General features: G+C 38.7%; 1 protein-coding gene across 1 annotated transcript; it reads left to right on the top strand.

The window, feature by feature from the left end:
- Positions 1–1,899: 1,899 nt before the first annotated feature.
- On the top strand, positions 1,900–16,811 carry OR5A1 (olfactory receptor family 5 subfamily A member 1). The gene is made up of 2 exons (NM_001004728.2): positions 1,900–2,266; positions 8,567–16,811. Exon 2 carries the CDS (start codon positions 8,600–8,602, stop codon positions 9,545–9,547), a length of 948 nt encoding a protein of 315 aa, NP_001004728.1. The 5' UTR covers positions 1,900–2,266; positions 8,567–8,599; the 3' UTR covers positions 9,548–16,811.
- Positions 16,812–21,154: the final 4,343 nt, after the last annotated feature.

Below are 21,154 nucleotides of genomic sequence, written 5' to 3' on the forward strand. Positions count from 1 at the left end.
ATTAGAATGGCAAAAAATAAAAATAAAAAACAAGTAGCATATAGTAAGTGTAGCCATTCTGGAAAACAGTATAGATATGCCTCAAAAAACTAAACTTAGAACTGCTATATGACCCAGCAATCCCACTACTGGGTATATATCCAAAAATAATGAAATCAATATGTCAAAGAGATAACTGCACTCTCATGTTTATTGCAGCACTATTGAGCATAGCCATAATATGAAATCAAGCTAAATGTCCATTAATGGATGAATGGCTAAAGAATATATAGTATATATACACTATTCTGCCTTCAAAGAAAAGAAAATCTTGTCCTTTGCTACAACATGAATAAACCTGGAGGGCATTATGGCAAGTGAAATAAACCTGGCACAGAAAGACAAATACTGTATGCCCTCAATTATGTGAAATCTAAAAAAAACTGAACTCATAGAAGCAGAGAGTAGAATGGTGGCTCTCAGGGGCAGGGGTAGGGGGAGCAGGGAGATGTCACTTAAAAGGTACAAAGTTTCAGTTAGACAGGAGAAATAAATTTTGGAGATTTGTTGTACAGCATGGTGACTATAATTAATGATAATGTGTGTAGTATACTTGAAAATCACTGAAAAAGTAGATTTTAAAATGTTGTCATCAGAAAAATCATAAGTAGGTGAGCTGATGGATATGTTAATTTGCTTGATTTAATAATTCTTCTATGTATACATATATCAAAACATTATGTTATATAACATAAATATATACAATTTGGCATTTGTCAATTTAAATAAATAAATAAACAAAGAGACCTAACTCTCAATAAATAAATACATACATACTTAAGGAATGCACGAACGAATAATTTCTCCCTTATCCATGTTTTTCCTTTGAATTCTACTCTCCAACCATTTTTTTCTCTGCCTGGTTGGATAGCTTTCTCTCCTTTAAGTAGTCATGGAATTGAGATCAGTCATCCACTGTTTATTGTAGCTACTTTGAAAAGACCGAAGTTCCATGTTCTCAGCTTAAGAAACAAGAGAATCAAATATTTTACTTTTTCCCCTCCACCTGAAAGCACATGTACTAATGGCTTGATTTTGTTAAATGTGTGGCCCCATATTACTTTTTATTTGTATGTAGCTCTCCATAGAATAAAAGTTCTACATCTTTATATTACACCTTTATATTCCATAGCAGAATAAGTTTTTTAAAATGTTTTAAGAAAAAAATGCCCTATTTCTAATGTCTCTTTCCTGGAGGAAGATAGTAGGTTTCTGTGGAAAGAAAATGGATTTATGAATTGAGGGGTATGATTGACCATATCAACACATTTATGTGAGTTTCAAAATAAGTGCATGTGTCATATATTTATATGCAGTGTTTGGTATTACACAGAGTTCAAATATCAGATCAATCCCTTACTAGCATAAAATTTCGATCAATTTATTTAGCTTCTCTGAATTTCGGTTTCCTCCTCTGCACGGGGAATTGGGGAGAACTTAGTGAGTTAACACACATAAGGCACATAGTATAGTGCTTAGCACATAAGAGGAGCTCAGGAAGGTTAAGGTCCCATCCTTTTAGCATACTTCTGGCCAAATAGGTTCTACTAAGTAATGGAATAGAGTCAATAAATATGTATTTATAGATAGGCAATTTTGCTTTATTTTGTGGAGTGGTGTTTAACCTATCCTTATGTTCCACTGCTATCCTGAGTTTTTTCGTCAGGTACTACCAGAAAATATCTTGATTGGCCTTGGGGGATTGGAGGCCCTAGCCACTGGGATGGAGTTTAATAAGCATCAGTTTTGGAGCTTTTAGAGTTTGCGTTCTAGACAACCCCAGAGAGCAATTAATCATAAAGCTGTGAAGTTCGGGTGATACATTCCTCCCTTTCAAAAAGACCCTCAGGAGCAAATATAATGAAACATCTCCAAGGACAGAAGAAAAAAACCTCTCCCCAATTTACCCCCAACCCCAGCTTTGAACATTTTCTCAAAATGACCCTAAATGCAGATATTAGCTGATGCCAGAAGAGCTTCTTAAAGATTACAACCTCCATCCTTTCTTTATATATCTTTTTCTTCCTTTACTCTGCCCCAAAGCACACCTTCTATGCACCAAGAGGATATTTTGATCCTTGATGAAAAAACCAGCCGCAAGCTCTCTCCAAACTCATTAGCACTTTGGTAATTGGAAGCAGCCACTGAAACCCAATTAAACTCCTTCCAAAGCAGAACAACTCAAAACAGGTATCAGCTAAAGGGCAGACAGAGCAGGAGCAACAGGGTAAGTGCAGTTTGCTCTTTGTCTTCATGCCCATATTAATCTCACATGATAGAATTCCCTATATCCACAAGCCCATATAGGTAACCAATAAGTTCTTTGACTTTTAGTTTTTCTCCCTGCACCTCTCAATGCTATTTGTCTTTCCTCAAATTCAGCCAAATCTTTTTTTGTACTTTTTAAAAAATAGACCTTATTTTTTAGAGCAATTGTAGAGTCACGGCAATATTGACCAGAGATTTCCTATTTATCCTTTTACTCCTACACATGCATAGCCTCCTCCATGATCAATCTCCCCCACCACAGTGGTACATTGTTACAATCAATGAACCTACATTGGCAAATTATTATCACCCAAAATCCATAGTTAACATTTGGGTTCATTCTTAGTGTTGTGTATTCCGTGGGTTTGGGCAAATGTATGATGACATGTATCCACTGTTATAGGATCATCCATAGTAGCTTCACTGTCCTAAAAACCCTCTGTGCTCTCCCTGTTCACCCTTCCCTCTCCCTGACCCCTAGCAACTACTGATCTTTTTACTGTCTCCATAGTTTTGCTTTTTCCAATATGTCTTATAGGTGGAATCATACCCTACGTAGCCTTTCAGGTTAATTTATTTCACTTAGTAATATGCACGTAAGTTTCCTCCATGTCTTTTCATGGCTTGATAGCTCATTTATTTTCGGTACTATACTTTTCAAGAAGTCTGCTGTATACTATTTTGTTTTCAAGCATTCTCTGCTGTCATTTAAGTACTTAAGTAGAATATGGAAACTTTGAATTTACAGATTTTTTTGCCAAAGTTTTTTAAATGTACATTATTCTTTTCATATTTGAGCTTTCTCCAATTCAAAATTGAAATTCCAGATAACATGCAGAAATTTAGGATTTACATACAAGTTTGTTGTCTGTCTCAGATAATTCTATGCTCTTGATTTATCAGTTGAATAATTTTCCCAGTGCAGTGTTTTATTAATTGTTGTATACGATAAGCTGGACCCTGTTTGATATAGTTTGAGTGTTTCTTCCCTCCAAATCTCATGTTGAAATGTAATCCCCATTGTTGGAGGCGGGGCCTGGTAGGAGGTGATTGGCCCATGGGGCGGATCCTTCATGAATGGGGTAGTGCTATCCCCTTGGTGATTAGTGAATTCAGGCAACAGCTGGTTGTTTAAAGAGCCTGGCCCCTTTCTGTTGCTCTCTCTCTCTTGCATCTGCTCTCACCATATGAGATGTCTACTCCCCCTTCACCTTCCGCCGTGATTATAGCTTCCTGCAGCCCTCACCAGAAGCAGATGCCAGCGCCACACTTCTTGTACTGTCTGCCGAACTGTGAGCCAATTAAACCTCTTTTCTTTATAAATTATCCAGCCTCAGGTAGTCCTGAAAAACGGCCTAATACACTATTCTATATTGTCTTAAATGGGACATATTACTAAAAGAGAGCTAAAAGAGACACATGTTCTCTTCAACTGGTAATCAGTTGACTATTAAATGTTCAGTAGCATTTTTTTTAAGTCTTCAGAAAATCATGATGAATTATTAGCTTTATAAATGCATTAATTGTTCATTACAAATTTTGTGAACAGTAAACCCAGCATACTATTAGATGCTAAGGTAGAACAAATATGAAACCAATCTTTTCAAAAACCAAGGTTACTCTAAGGAGGGAAATTTGCTCACCGTGATAATCTGAGTGAGGCATTTAAGAGCCTGATTCTGAAATCACAGCCCAATATTGGTTCTTCTCTACTGCTCCCGTGATGAGCTTCCTGAAGTACATTTGAGCCCTTGCAACTACCAAGATGATTAAAAGGGAATGACATTTCTGAAGGAACTTCTATGCCCTTACACACAGCCTCAATTATTAGTAAGCAATCCAAAAAGTAATTTAGAAGGCCTGTAATCCAGACACACTTTACACAGCAGATTTTCCAAACACTGCAGAGGCCTCTAAACTCCAAAACTCTCCTTCTCTTTTCTCACTAATGCTATGAATGATACCATCTGAATCTTAATTCTTGAATTAAAGTCTTGACCCCTTTAGCATTGTCACCTTACATTGAGAGGAACTCCTCATTTCATCAATCATTTGTACATTCAGATAAAAGAAAGACCTGGAAGAGCAGTATCTTGAGGGCACCAGGCACTGGCAGGGATGAGAGGAAAATGGCATTATGAAGTGAAGGACACCAGATCAGGATTGGCGGGGAAATCACAGAACACCTCCAACTCCACAATTTGGCTGAGGTCCTTATCATTCCATGTTTTCCTCCATCACAAACTGTGTCTGTGAAGCTCAAATGAGGCAAATTTTGTTACAAAGTTTAACACTTCTTCCAGATATATTTGATGGAAAATGAACAGAATCATAAATCAACTCTACGAGTCCCCATCAATTATCCAGTATCTTCTATGTGCAAAGGTCTGTGCTAGGTGCTTGGTTTTACTGTATTATTATCTTCCCGTGTCAGTCAAGGATAGTGTAGTTCACAAAGATGCTGGAACTGCATCTATGAGTCTAATGAGGTCACTGAGCCTCTCAGACTCTTCCTCTTCAGCTCTGTAAAATAGACCTGGTGTTGATTATACCTGGTGTTGATTATATCATAGAATTGTAGGGAGTCCAGGCTCCCCAAGTTTGCTGCAAGAGTGAATAAAACTTCCTTTCCCTCTCAAGGGAAGAAGCACCTCTTCATGACAGAGTTCCATGCCATAAAGCACTCCATACAATCCTTAAGATACCTTCTCTCTAATGTTCTAAAATAAGCTGCAGGGCATCCATATGTGGGAAAAAAACTCTACATATGCTTTTCCTTTTGTTTCAATTTGTCCAGCTCCACTTTCTGTTTCTGGGACTGGGAAATCTCATCCTTAAATACAAAATTTCTCCCTCCTGATGACAATATTCAAAACAGACTTTCAATTAACCCATCAGACTCCAATCATTAAGTTCCTCAACCTCACTCGTAAACACTTCTTACAAATCTGCATGGTCCATTAGTGAACTTCTTATTTCTCTAACATAAGCATACTTCAACCTATTACATAAGGAGGAAGGGTTTCAAAATTAATGGTCGGTCCTATCAATAATATTTTAAGGAATAGTTGCTGCTGATAACAATCACATTCCCAGTTTATTAAGCAAACATTCTATCTCAAGACCCACCATGATCCCTTTATACATTATCTTAAGCAATTTTCAAGCTCTGTTAAGTAGTTACTGTTTGTTTTATTGTTGTTTTGAGACAAGGTCTCCCTTTGTCACCTAGGCTGGAGTGTAGTGGCATGATCACAACTAACTGCAGCCTCAACCTTGTGGGCTCAAGCAATCCTCCCACCTCAGCCTCCTGGTAGCTGGGACCACAGCTGTATGCCACCATACCCTACCAATTTTTTCATTTTTATTTTTATTTGTAGAGATGAGGTCTCACCATGTTTCTCAGGTTGGTCTCGAGCTCCTGGCCTCAAGCAATCCTCCAGCCTCTGCTTCCCAAAGTGCTAGGATTGTGGGCATAAACCACCACACCTGGCTAGTAGTCACTGTTATTCCCATTTTACAAATGAGGAAATTGAAATTCAGAAAGGCTAAATGAGTTGCCCAACATCCCACAGCTGGCAAGTGGCAGAGTCAGAATTAGAACCAGTCTTTTTCTAAAGCCTACCCAGGATCAAACCACTACCTTCTCCCACTCCCCTTTCTTCTAACCTGAATGGGTGCCCCCAGATGACCCTGAATCATAACACAGACCTCAGGTTTCTACCTTGCCAAATGGCTGTACCTCTATGGAATGTGTGAGGCCTCCCGCAGAGCTCTTCTTGTTTTAGCTCCCAGTTTCTCCATGTGACTCTACATCTGCTCTCGATTATGCCAAAGTTTGTTGCACGTTCCTCTTTTATTTCTTTGAAGGATAAAGAATCCTCTCTTGACTCTAGAAAGTTCACAAACCTTTCACAAACAGGAGCAAAACCTTAGAATATAGGATGAAGCTTAAAGTCATACCGACAATAGCGTGACTAATGTGATGAATATCTAAAACTCTGCACAAATGACAGCATGATGATAGCTAAAAGGAGCTTCACATTCTCCCATTATCCAAATGTGAGGGGTTTAGCAATAAAAAATAAGTAGAAGGAACTATTGACAGGGGAGAAATGGGCCCCAATTTCAAGGGCATCTGTCTGTGCAAGTTCCAGGAAAAAAATATTAAGAATGTCAATGAGACCTTAACTGGCAATGAGTAGATGTGGATTGATTTGTGAAAATTGAGGATGTCGAAATAAAGTGGCTCTCCTAAATTGAGCAGAAAAATTTGGCGCAAATAGAGTATTACTTCCCAAATTGTGAAGTTATTGACTTGCAATGACTTCTATAATATATACAAGTTACAAAGGTTTGTGTACTATGATACAAACACCTATGCACATAAACATATACTTGTACATAAAAAGTATACACCAAAATATTAAGAGTTATTATTTCAGGAGATAGATAATAATGTTCAGTTTCCTTTTTTTTATTAATCAGGAACATGATTTTTTGTTTCAATAGTTCACATTTGTATATTGATCATATTAATCAAAATATCTCACAGTTCTTTAATTTAAAAGCCAGTTAAAATAATTTCATTGATTTCCAAATTATTTGGGTTAAGAACTGAAGAAGGATCAAGATATATTCCAAACCTTTAAGGGTCATTCACCATAAGCCACATGGCCCTCTGACCACATTTTTCCTGGTACTTTCTATAGGATTAGGGAAACCTACCAGTTTCAGAGACCTGATGACTACAGTTCTCTTCTGATTAATGTGCATTGAGACTCAGTGTGGCTGTGTGAGGGGGCAATGGGAGTCCTTACTGGTGTGGATTTAATAAAATCAAGTCCCTGATCTTGAAAGATGCTTCATGCACTAAAAATTCAAATAATTTGATTGAGGATACTTTGTAACTTAGGTTTAAAATAACAACAGCAACAACAACAAATACTTATAGAACAGTTACTATGGGCCAGGCATGATCTAAGAAGATTAGATGATACATGATGATGATGATAGATGGTAGATAGATGATAGACAGATAGATAAAGATGGATAGAGAGATGATAGATAGATAGATAGATAGATAGATAGATAGATAGATAGATAGATAGATGATAGATGATAATTAGACAGATCCTATAACAAAGTAAATACTATTATTATCTCTAATTTTACAGAGAGAGAGAGTTCAAGTGACCTGGTCAACATCGCACATCTACTAAGTGAAGCTGAGAATTAAATCCAGGCAGTCTAGATCCAGAGCCCACACTCAACAACTAAACAACTCAGGCCAGGGGCAGTGGCTCAAGCCTGTAATCCCAGCACTTTGGGAGGCTGAGGCGGGCGGATCGCCCAAGGTCGTTCGAGACCAGCCTGACCAACATGGAGAAACTCCGTCTCTACTTAAAATACAAAATTAGCCAGTCGCGGTGGCGTATGCCTGTAATCCCAGCTACTCAGGAGGCTGAAGCGGGAGAATCGCTTGAACCCAGGAGGCGGAGGTTGCGGTGACCTGAGATACTGCCATTGCACTCTAGCCTGGGCAACAAGAGCGAAACTCCATCTCAAAAAAAAATAAAAAATAAGAAATAAATAAATAAATAAAATAATAACTCAGAATGCTCAGACTAAGATAAATTTGAAATTCAACCTACATTAGTATATTTGGACCCAATATTCGACAATTAAGAGCATTTTTACATATATGTGGGCTAATCCTTTGCATTAAAAACATTCTATCTGATTAATCGTTTCACAACTACATAGCTGAACCTAGTTCCGTTGATCTTTCCTTCCTAATATTGAAACTTAGGTAAAGTAGATGAATAGTTATTCCAAGACATGACCTGACTTACCTGAGGCACACAGAACTGTCCTAATAATTACTCACTGGTCACTTGTTATGTGCCAGGCACTTAAAACAAATCTGTGAATTAATTGCTATCATCCAGTTTTAAGGATAAATAAATTGAAGCCAGAGATGTTAGCTATCTCACCCAAAATGGTGGAGGCAGGAGTTGATCCCAGGGATTTTGGGTTCAAAAGTTAGATTCATTATCAACTACACTATACTACCTAAATATTTAAGATGATGACTGCAACTCCCTTCTTTGAGAGAGAGAGACTGAGACTGAGACTGAGAAAGAGAAAGAGAGTCTTTGCATAAAGCTGTAACCTGTAATCCTCTGCCCTCCCTCTCAGGCATTTTGTAGTTATTTGCTAATACCACCTATAATGTGGACTGTCATTACTATCCCAGGTCTGCATCTTGTCCTTGTGGTCCACGGGAAGCATGTCCATAACCAAAGCCTGGAACAGCTCATCAGTGACCATGTTCATCCTCCTGGGATTCACAGACCATCCAGAACTCCAGGCCCTCCTCTTTGTGACCTTCCTGGGCATCTATCTTACCACCCTGGCCTGGAACCTGGCCCTCATTTTTCTGATCAGAGGTGACACCCATCTGCACACACCCATGTACTTCTTCCTAAGCAACTTATCTTTCATTGACATCTGCTACTCTTCTGCTGTGGCTCCCAATATGCTCACTGACTTCTTCTGGGAGCAGAAGACCATATCATTTGTGGGCTGTGCTGCTCAGTTTTTTTTCTTTGTCGGCATGGGTCTGTCTGAGTGCCTCCTCCTGACTGCTATGGCATACGACCGATATGCAGCCATCTCCAGCCCCCTTCTCTACCCCACTATCATGACCCAGGGCCTCTGTACACGCATGGTGGTTGGGGCATATGTTGGTGGCTTCCTGAGCTCCCTGATCCAGGCCAGCTCCATATTTAGGCTTCACTTTTGCGGACCCAACATCATCAACCACTTCTTCTGCGACCTCCCACCAGTCCTGGCTCTGTCTTGCTCTGACACCTTCCTCAGTCAAGTGGTGAATTTCCTCGTGGTGGTCACTGTCGGAGGAACATCGTTCCTCCAACTCCTTATCTCCTATGGTTACATAGTGTCTGCGGTCCTGAAGATCCCTTCAGCAGAGGGCCGATGGAAAGCCTGCAACACGTGTGCCTCGCATCTGATGGTGGTGACTCTGCTGTTTGGGACAGCCCTTTTCGTGTACTTGCGACCCAGCTCCAGCTACTTGCTAGGCAGGGACAAGGTGGTGTCTGTTTTCTATTCATTGGTGATCCCCATGCTGAACCCTCTCATTTACAGTTTGAGGAACAAAGAGATCAAGGATGCCCTGTGGAAGGTGTTGGAAAGGAAGAAAGTGTTTTCTTAGGTCATGCGTAGAAACTTATTTATCCAAACTGCTGGAGAATTAAACAATCCAAGCCTTCACCTCCACCTCTGCCTCAGGCAAGGGAGATATTTGGTGCTCTCATTTGTGGAGACTCTTCCCTCCAGATTCCTCTCACCCTTCCTCATGGTCACTTGTCTACTGACTGTGCCATAGATAGCCAAAAAGGGAAGGAATTTCTTCAGAAAAAAAAAAAAAAAAAAAAGAACCTCCCCAGGATAACCTATTTTCACAATAATCACAATAACTAGCCTTTATTGGGCCCTTAGTATGTACCAGGCACAAAAGTTATTTAATTAAATACTCATTGCAGTACTAAAATACACAATGAACTATCTGTATGTTACAAAATAAGGAAACAGTGTGTCAGCAAGGAAAATTAACTTGCTCAGGGTCACCAAGGAAGAGGCAGAACTCTCATTCACACCAAGGTCTTCCTGACTCCAGAGCCCACGTTCTGCCCAAACGCTGCACTCCACATTCAACAAAAAAATAGCCCAAAAGTAGTACGAGTATATAACTCTTGTTACTGGCATATGGCAGAATCTGAAAAGATACACTATGTGTAGTTAAGGTAAATTAGAAAAACAAGATGCCTACCTCATCAAATGCCCTCTCTAGGATCTCCCTGTTGAATTCCAATTATGGCTACTGAGTAATTTGCTAAGCAAATGCTGAAGGACATTCCCCTTGGCTGCCATTTCTCTCTTTCTCAGCTATGTAAGGGCTGGGAAATTTGAGTCCAATGGTGTCATACCAATACTCTTCTTTTCTCAGTCTCAGTCCCCTAAACTGCCTATCAGTCAGTACCTCCTTGATTTTTCTTTAATATTTCACTAAATGTTGTATTTTTTTTCTTTTAATTTAATTTAATTTTATTTTATTTTAAGTTCCGGGATACATATGCAGGATGTGCAGGTTTGTTACATAGGTAAACATATGTCATGGTGATTTGCTGCACCTATCCACCCATCACCTAGGTATTAAGCCCCACATCCGTTAGCTATTTATCCCGATGCTCTCCCTCCTCCCTGCCTCCTGACAGGCCCCAATGTGCATTGTTCCCCTCTCTGTGTCCATGTGTTCTCATTGTTTAGCTCTTACTTACAAGTGAGAACATTGGATATTTGGTTATCTGTTCTTGGGTTAGTTTGCTGAGGATAATGGCTTCCAGCTCTATCCATGTCCCTGCAAAGAACACTAATTCCTTCCTTTTATGGCTGCATAGTATTCCATGGTATGTATGTACCATATTTTCTTTATCCAGTCTCTCATTGATGGGAATTTGGGTTGATTCCATGTCTTTGCTATTGTGAATAGTGCTGCAATGAACATACACATGCATGTATATTTATAATAGAATTATTTATATTCCTTTGGATATATACCCAGTAATAAGATTGCTGGGTCAAATGATATTTCCATTTCTAGGTCTTTGAGGACTCGCCACACTGTCTTCCACAATGGTTGAACTAATTTACATTCCCACCAACAGTATAAAAGTGTTCCTATTTCTCCACAGCCTCGCCAGCATCTGTTGTTTCTTGACTTTTTAATAATTGCCATTCTGACTAGCATGAGATGGTATCTCATTGTGATTTTTTATTTGCATTTCTCTAATAATTAGTGATGTTGAGCTTTTTTTCATATGTTTGTTGGCCATACAAATGTCTTCTTTTGAGAAGTGTCTGTTCATGTCATTTGCCCACTTTTAGATAGGGTTGTTTGTTTTTTTCTTGTAAATTTGTTTAAGTTACCTTTGTCAGATAGATAGATTGCAAAAATTTTCTCCCATTCTGTAGGTTGTCTGTTCATTCTAATGATAGCTTCTTTTGCAGAATCTCTTTAGTTTAATTAGATCCCATTTGCCAATGTTTGCTTTTGTTGCAATTGCTTTTGACGTTTTCATCATGAAATCTTTGCCAGTGCCTATGTCCTAAATGGCATTGCCTAGATTTTCTTCTAGGATTTTTATAGTTTGGGGCTTTACATTTAAATCTTTAATCCATCTTGAGTTAATTTTTGTATAAAGTTTAAGGAACTGGTCCATTTTCAATTTTCTGTATATGGCTAGCCAGTTTTCCCAGCACCATTTATTAGATAGGGAATCCTTTCCCCATTGCTTGTCTTTATCAGGTTTGTCAAAGATTCAATGGTTGTAGATGTGCAGTCTTATTTCTGAGATCTCTATTGTGTTCTATTGGTCTACGTGTCTGTTTTTGTACAAGTACCATGTTGTTTTGGTTACCATAGACTTGTAGTATAGTTTGAAGTCAGGGAGTGTAATGCCTCCGGCTTTGTTCTTTTTGCTTAGGATTGTCTTGACTATACTAGCTCCTTGATTTTAACCATGCCATTCCTTTACCAGTTCAGGACCTGCCTCCATTTCACAGTTTGGTGTCCTTTTTGATCACCACACCCTGAATTCCCCTTGCTATCTTCTATCTGAACCCATTGCTCCTATAAAATTCCTGTTTCTCCTCTTGAATAAATTAAACCTTGCAGCCCACATTGGGTGTAATTTATTTGCCATCATCTCAGGGAAGTATATCCCAGGTTCCCACCTCCAGATAATTACCCTTTCATTTCAGGCACTCACAGTGGAATTGTCCCACACAACTATTTCTGCTGGTAAATCTCTCTCTCTGGCTACTTGTAACGCATTCACTTTTCCATTGATGTAGGTCAATTGGATAAGTAGATATTTGATTTGATTGTTCATATAACAGAATTAATTATTTCCTCCATATCTGGAAGAACATAAACAATGCATAGGAAAGCAGAGATCCCTTCTCAGGTTTCCTGGGTTCTTCATCCTCTAAATTCATTCCCATCCACGGCCAATAAAACGTAGAATGACTCCTACAAATCGTATATACAGGTACTCAGAGAGAGAGAGTTGAAATTTGCTGAGTGCTTACTAAATTTCAAGTTCTATTCTGAACATTTCATACATGTTAAGCCATTGAATCCCTATTGACACAGCCATTGAGTGGAAGCTGACTCAGCATGGCTCCTGAGACTAAACTCATAAACACTTTGTGACATTTCCCCCAAGTGGGCCCCTGATTAGGTTGAAGTGGGGAGGTTTTATAGTGGCAGCCAAATATACCACCCAGGGAAAATACTAGAGAAACTCAACATATGCCTCCCATTTCTGTCTACTGGAAGTATCCCATGCCTCCATTTTTCTATTGCACATCTTCCAAAATGTAGGCCCAGAAGCAGAGGCCACAGCTATGCCTAGAACTACAGAACAACTGCCACTGGGGTCAGGCTAGTGTATGAAACTGCAACAATTAGGCCAGTAAAATTTTAGGAATGAAAAGTTGACACTATATCTGTATATTAAGGGATACTTGCTTTACAGAAATATCAGCAAATGAATCAAAAATTTACAGGCATTTTACCATTACAAGGGAAATTCAAGAAAGAATATGAGAAGGAGAGATTGTCTGATCCTCACCCCTATTTGGTTGCAGTTACATCATTAGCTTCTTCAGGCATTATTGGGTAGTAGAGAACAGCAGGAAGCAGGGAGACAAAAATCAAAATATCAGTTTAATAATGTTAAATCGACAGATAATGTTCTGTTGGAGGACATGGCTTTGATCTGGTCCTGTGGCTGCCCCACAGTGTACACCAGAATTAGACAGGCTAACCCAGGAGAAGCAGGCTTGCCCTGTTGCACTAATTGCGTAGATGAGAGAAAATCAGACTACATGCTCCCTGCAGGGAGACAGATCCCAAAGAAAGAGAAGGAAGATCAGAAGGCCAAGTTCTCCTGCCTAATTTTTTTCCCAGATTCACCACTCCTTTAAATCAGGGGTGTCCAATCTTTTGGCTTCCCTGGGCAACATTGGAAGAATTTGTCTTGGGCCACACAAAAAAACACACTAATGATAGCTGATGAGCTTTAAAAAAATCACAAAAAAACTCTTAATGTGTTAAGGAAGTTTACAAATTTGTATTGGTCCACATTCAAAGCCGTCCTGGGCCGCATGAAGCCCACGGGCTGTGGGTTGTGCAAGCTTGCTTTACATCACTCCTACCTTCCTAGAAAGGACTGAGTGAAGGAGGAGGCACAAAACCTGCATGCCATTTCAGCGTAAGTCCCTCTCCAGGAAAACAGGAGGAAAAGGGAAGGAACTCCCCATACACATACTAAGATCTTTAAGGTTACTTCACTCTGATCCTCTAAGAAGTCCTAAACTGAAGTTCCATCCACGACTATGAGGGGCCACTAGACCAGGAGCCTCATCTAGTGGAATCCAATTTGTCAGTATCTCCAGGTCTCAGTCAAGGCCTCTTTATGATGACGTTGGTCTCATCCAATGCTTGGATCTTACAGGATTATTATGAGCCCAAAAAAAGAAAATTGATTTTTAGAAATCTCTTAGAAAAAATTTAAAACATTATATAAATACCAGGGATTCCTGTTATTATCAAATGCCACTTCCCCCAAGGAAGCATTCCCAGACTCCCTGGACCTCACTAAATCCCTGGGCCAATCTCGCCCCATTCTTGCCCTTTGGTGTGAATCATCACAGTTGTAAGTTCATGCTTGAGGGTGGGGTCACATCTGTCTCTTCACAAATATATTCTCAGCATCTAGAACTGCCTGATATACAAAACGCAATAAATATGCATTTTTGGTCAATTATTATAATTGATCTGTTGGAAAAAAATCAATTATGTGACCCAAATTGTGACCATTGTCACATGAAATTGACTCTTGAACTATAATATTGTTGATGAAATTTCTGTAATCGTTATCATACAAGGACTTTGCATCAAATTTGATGTTGATATAATTTAGAGAAGGAGCCTTTGGAGATTCCTCAGACTTCCCTGTACACAGTTTCATCACCTCCTTATTAGATGTGCTATCATAATGGGTGTGTGTGTGTGTGTGTGAAAAGGAGAGAAAAAACATGCACACGTGTTGCTTAGTAACTTTTTAATAACTCCCATTGCATCTGCAACTGCCAACTTCTCCACTGAAAATATATTTCCTACAAATATCCAATATTACTCCCTATGCTAATCATTATAGTAGACTTCTTATTCAGCATCAGTTAGGAACAGTGTAAACTGTTCATGTGTTTGGGTGAAGAAGGGCAGAGCAGTGATGATGGGGAAGTTGTCAGGCTCACTTTACCAATGCAAAGGTAGGTGAGGGCGTCCTGAAAATTTTGCACACCTACAAACTTATGATTTCAATAGTGTCTCTGAAAGGCAAAATGTCCATTTGCAATTCTGGAAGTATATGTCATCTTGAACTAGAAGCTTCAGGCTGATTAAGATCTCCTACTTCTAACCTAAAATACTGGGCTTCCTAAGACACATTCAAATAAGGTAATTTTTCAAAAATTAAAACTCATTCCATAAACATTACTAAGCCCCTACCATGTGTAAAAAAATAATAACTAGCATGATCTCTTTCTTAAAAGGTGATTAAAAGTTAGATGGCAGCAAAAAGACAACTATATAATGATATTAGGATTATGATAATATTAATACCCTACATTTGTATAATGCTTTGAAGTTTGCAGTATTCTCTCATATGCATTAAGCCATTTAATTGACTTATACAGCAACATAAGTGAATAGGGGATGTAAGATGAGGCTGAAAATGGCGTAAAGGAAAACAAATACTTGTTGGGGAACTACTGCACATCAGGAGTTGCAAATGGACACCCCTTTGTTCATTCATCTTCAAAAAGAATTATTGAATAACTGCTATGTTCCAGGTAGGAGCTGGGGATACAATAGTGACAAAAGAAATCCTTGCCTTCAGGGAGTTTACATTGGGAGGAAAAGGCAGACACACATAGACCCATAAAGGCAAGGAGTAAAAAGTGCTAGATTATCACAAGCAAGCCTCACTATGCAAAGTAAGGTGTATGTTCCCCATTTCATGGAATAAGGTCCTGGGGTTCATAAAGGTTAACTTGCTCCGGGTCACAAGAGGCACAGTTTAAAATACTGGAACCTGACTTCGAAGGCTGTGCTCTTTTGAACAAGCTAATTCTATGTTCAATCATGCAACCCTGAGGTTACAAAATAGAAAGGCTATCGTTTGATCCTGACCTCACATTGAGCCTGATAGTCCAGAACCTTCTAAGGTGATTGACCAGAAGAGTAGGTGGAATAATGTTAATCTGAAAGAGAAGTCAACAGTAAGTAGATTTGACCTCAGTTCCCAGAGACCTGAGTTGGCTGATTCCAGGTTCTCCTCTGGGTGCCTCCAGCCAATGCCTCATGGAGCCATAACACACCAAAAGAAAAATTAGAGCTGTCTTTCCCACACACCCTTTTCCATAATAAGTCAGCTTCTTAGAACAATTTTAAAAACAAAAAACAGAAAAATACAAGATACATAATATCAGAGCTCAAATTAATGGAGAACTTTTTACTTCAAATTGTAAATAGGTATAATACTTTTTCTGATTTTCATAATCAGAAGCCATTTAAAATCATTTTTTTAATTAGACACAACAGAACGTCTTTTTAAAATAAAAATGCCAAAATCCAATTACCAACAGATAATGGCTACTACTGTTGTGATATATTAATACATCTTTTCAGACTTCTAGCCATGTAGATATTTTTCCCAAAAATAACATCATGTGACATATTCAGTGTTTTAATCTGTCACTAAAAAGAAATCTTTCCATGTTTAAAAGTACAATTCTACGTTATCACTTTGAATGTCTGCAAATACTTAATTGTACTATTGTGCCATATTTATTGAACAAATTTTCTATATCAGACGCTAACTTAAATTCTAATTTCTACTATTTGAAACAGCAATGTGATGAGCTTTGTTTATATTTAGGACATTAAACATTTGGTTTATTAACTCTTTAGCATAAATTCCTAAAGTAGAAATTTTGAGTCACGGGGTTTGTACATATTACATTTTGACACATATTTCCAGAATGACCCCAGAAATGCTGCCTATGTGTGCACTCCTATTAATCATATGAAAGTGTCACTTTCCCCACATCTATGCCAACAGTGGACTTTTCAACATTGGTTAATCTTCTAGATGAGAAATGATACCTCATTGTAATTTAATTTGTATTTCCTTTTTTCTTTCTTTCTTTCCCTTTTTTAATAGAGACAGGATCTTCCTATGTTGCCCAGGCTGGTCTCAAACTCATGAGCTCAAGAGATCCTCCCTCCTTGGCCTCCTAATATATTTATCTGATCAATAGTTGATTGACTGTCTTTTCACATGTGGGCTAACCAACTGCATTTTTCTGTGAATCATGACTCATTTTTGTTTTAAAGTATCAAAATGTCTGTGTCTTACAGATTTATAAGAGTTCTTTATATAGCAAAGATGTTAAGCTTGTTTTACATGTTTTTAGATATTTTCCCAAGTTTTTTATTTATAGTTTTAGGCTTATTTATAATGCTTTTAAAATGTAAAAGTTTTATATTTTTACTTAGTCAAATATAATAATTATTGGTGTAATGCTCCTCTACTCCAAAAATTATGAAAACACTTACCTAAGTTTTATTCTAATATTTTAATTGTTTTATATTTTGGTATTTATATTATTAAGGTGATAAAATCTTCTTGTCTTCCATTTCTGTAAGAAGTTAAAGAGTGTTGCAATTTATTTCAACTCATGGTATCTATATATAAAAAGAAATTAAACATTCAAACACAATTAGAATTGGGCTGTGTCCTTTTTTTTTTTTGGAGACAGGTTCTCGCTCCATCACCCAGACTGGAGTACAGTGGTGCAATCACAGTTCACTGAAGAGTTTCGATGTCCCAGGCAGAATTGATCTGCCCAGTTCAGCCTCCTGCATATCTGAGACTACAGCATACACCACCACCAGGCCCAGCTAATATTTTTTGTAGAGACAGGGTTTCAGGCTGGTCTCAAACTCCTGGCCTCAAGTGATCTGCCCACCTCCATCTCCCAAATTGCTGGGATTAAAGGTGTGAGCCACCACACCCAGTCTGTTTCTTTTTTTTTTTTTTTTTCACTTTTATTTTAAGTTCAGGGGTGTAAGTGCAGGTTTGTTACATAGGTAAACTTGTTGTACAGATTATTTCATCACCAAGGTATTAAGCCTAGTGTCCATTAGTTATTTTTCCTGATCATCTCTCTCCTCCCACCCTCCACTCTCCAAAAGGTCCCAGTATGTGTTGTTCCCCTCTGTGTTTTCCTGTGTTCTCATCACTTAGCTCCCACTTATAAGTGAAAACACGCAGTATTTGGTTTTTCTCTTCCTGCGTTAGTTTGCTAAGGATAATGGCCTCCAGTTCCACCCATGTCTCTGCAAAGGACATGATCTCATTCTTTTTTATAGCTGCATAGTAATCCATGGTGTATATGTACCACATTTTCTTAACTCAATCTATCATTGATGGGCATTTAGGTTGATTCCATGTCTTTGCTATTGTGAATAGTGTTGCAGTGAACATACACGTGCATGTGTTTACAATATGATGATTTATATTTCTTTGGGTGTATACCTAGTAATAGAATTGCTGGATGAAATGGTATTTCTGTCTTTAGATCTTTGAGAAATCGCCACACTGTCTTCCACAATGGCTGAACTAATTTACATTCCCACCAATAGTTTATAAGCATACTTTTTCTCCACAACCTTGCCAACATCTGTTATTTTTTGACTTTTTAATAGTAGCCATTCTGACTGGTATTAGGTGGTATTTCATTGTGGTTTTGATTTGCATTTCTGTAATGATCAGTAATGTTTAGCTTTTTTTCACGATTGTTGGCTGCATGTGCATCCTCTTTTGAAAAGTGTCTGTTCACGTCTTTGCCTGTTTTTTTATGGAGTTGTTTGGTTTTTTCTTGTAAATTTATTTAAGTTCCTTATAGATGCTGGATATTAGACCTCTGTTGGATGCATAGTTTGCAAAAAATTTTCTTCCATTCTGCAGGTTGTCTGTTTACTCTGTTGGTCGTTTCTTTTGCTGTGCGGCAGCTATTTACAATACCTTTATCATCAGTTAAAATTAGAAAACTAACGTGGCATTTGAACTAGTAAGTTCATTTCTGGGAATGTATCTTAAAAAGAAATCATAGATGCACATGAAAATGCATTTACAAAATGTTAAGTGCAGGATTATTCAAAAATACTAATCAGGGACCGACTAGGCAACTGAAGAGATCAAGGTATGGCTTTTGTAGCCCCTCACTTCCTGTACATTCTACAAGCCTGACTCAAAATGCCACCCACTCACCCTGGTTTCCATACTTTCTATCTTAAGTCCTGAGTCCCAAACTGCTGTGCTCTCCTGGCTGGTGTCTCGTTCCATTTTAGCCATCATGACTGACGCTTATTCTTCACCTGCCTGATTCCCACATACCTATGAAAACCTCTCTCTACCTTAGTAACCAATGTATTTCCCATCACATTCCACAAGGGATCAGGGAGATCTTGCAGCAATAACAAAGAACTACCTACAGTAAAACAATAGAATGTAAATAAGGAACTGTTAAGAGGCTACATGTGAAAAATTATGGAGTAGAAAATTAAGTCACTCATACGTTTTTGAATGTATGAAAGCCAAAGCAAAGATACATAGTCAGGGCCTGGCGCGGTGGCTCACGCCTGTAATCCCAGCACTTTGGGAGGCTGAAGTGGGTAGATCACCTGAGGTCAGGAGTTCCGGACCAGCCTGGCCAACATTGCAAAACCCTGTCTCTATTAAAAATACAGAAATTAGCCAGGCATGGTGGCGCGTGCCTGCAATCCCAGCTACTTGGGAGGATGAAGCAGGAGAATTGCTTGAACTGGGAGGCGGAGGTTGCAGTCAGCCAAGATCGCACCACTGCACTCCAGCCTGGGCAACAGAGCAAGACTCTGTCTTAAACACACACACACACACACACACACACACAAAGATACGCAGTCAGTTACACAATTCTTATTGCCTCAAAAAAGAACGCACATTGATGTCCCACGGGAGCTCTGCCTTGCACTTGGGTCTAGGATAACTGTCTTCTTTGGAGTCTCCTGGGAAGAACCAAATAGATCTTGGCCTGAGTACAATCCAAAGATGGATGCTTCTCCTTGTAGACACTCTAATAAAAGGCAATAACATAATTCCAAATACATTGTACCAGTTAGTGTGTTACTGGATGCTGGCATATTAAAGTAAGATTTCTTTTGGGCTGTATACCTTAAATATGTGCAATTTTTAAAAGACTGTAAAAAGTTTTTTAATTAAAAATAAATAAATAAAAATAAAAGAGGCAACTCACTTCCACAGGAATGAAATTATTCTAATGGTGGAAACATCAGGGATCTAAGAAGATCACAAGATTTTTGTTTAAGAGGAATTCTGTATGTTCTAACCCCTCAAACTAAACTATAAAATACACTCAACTGTAAGAGAACTGAAATGAGAAAAATTAAGAACTATGTTTCTTATGGAATACTTTCTTTTGCTTTTATTTCAGGGAAAATGCTGTATCCTTTTTTCATCTGGTATACTGTCTTCTTTCTTTTCCTATCTTTCTCAGACATAATTATGTTTTTTTCCAATGCCAATTGCCTACTTTTTATTGTTGAATTAGATTTTGGTCATCTCAATTATTTAAATTTTTTTTTTTTTTTTGAGGCAGAGTATCACTCCGTCGCCCAGGCTGGAGTTCAGTGGCGCAATCTTGGCTCACTGCACACTTTGCCTCCTGGGTTCATGCCATTCTCCTGCCTCAGCCTCCCGAGTAGCTGGGACTACAGGCGCCCACCACCACACCTGGCTAATTTTTTGTATTTTTAGTAGAGATGGGGTTTCACCATGTTAGTCAGGATGGTCTCGATCTCCTGACCTCGTGATCTGCCTGCCTCGTCCTCCCAAAGTGCTGGGATTACAGGCGTGAACCACCGCACCCGGCCCCTTAAATTTTTTAAAATCATCTAGAATATGAGTCCTTGGAACATACAGATATTCTTTTGTTTCACATGCCTGCTGTATCAAATGGTTTGGGGGCGGGGTTGTTGTTTTGTAGAGACAGGGACTTGCTCTGTCACCCAGGCTGCAGTACAATGGCACAATCATAGCTCACTGCAGCCTCGAATTCCTGGGCTCAAGCGATCCCCCCACTTCAGCCTCCTGAGTAGCTGGGACTGCAGGTGCACACCACCATGCCTGGCTAATTTTTTTTTAATTTGTTGTTGTTGTTAAGACAGGGTCTCACTATTGTCCTGGCTGGTCTCAAACTCCTGAACTCAAGCAATCTGCCTGCCTTGACCTCCCAAAGTGCTGGGATTACAGGCATTAGCCACTGCACCTGGTTCATACAGATATTCTTACTGAAAGAAGTTTGTCCTCATATGACTGAATTTCTGATTTGGGAAAAAGAAGTATCAATATAGTAAATTGCTATTATATAGCAATAGTAGAATATCCCTGGAATTTGAGTCAACAAACCTGTTTACAGTTCTCTATATTTCACCAATTCAAACTCTGATTCTGAAAAAAATAAATGTCCTTCTCTAGTCACTTCTAAAGTAAGAAACATTAGACTAATTTATCTCTGAAGTCCTGTGACGCTCTAATGATCAGTTTTTCTGTGATACTAAAAC

Source organism: Homo sapiens, chromosome 11 (assembly GCF_000001405.40).
Source record: "Homo sapiens chromosome 11, GRCh38.p14 Primary Assembly".
NCBI classification, from domain to species: domain Eukaryota; kingdom Metazoa; phylum Chordata; class Mammalia; order Primates; family Hominidae; genus Homo; species Homo sapiens.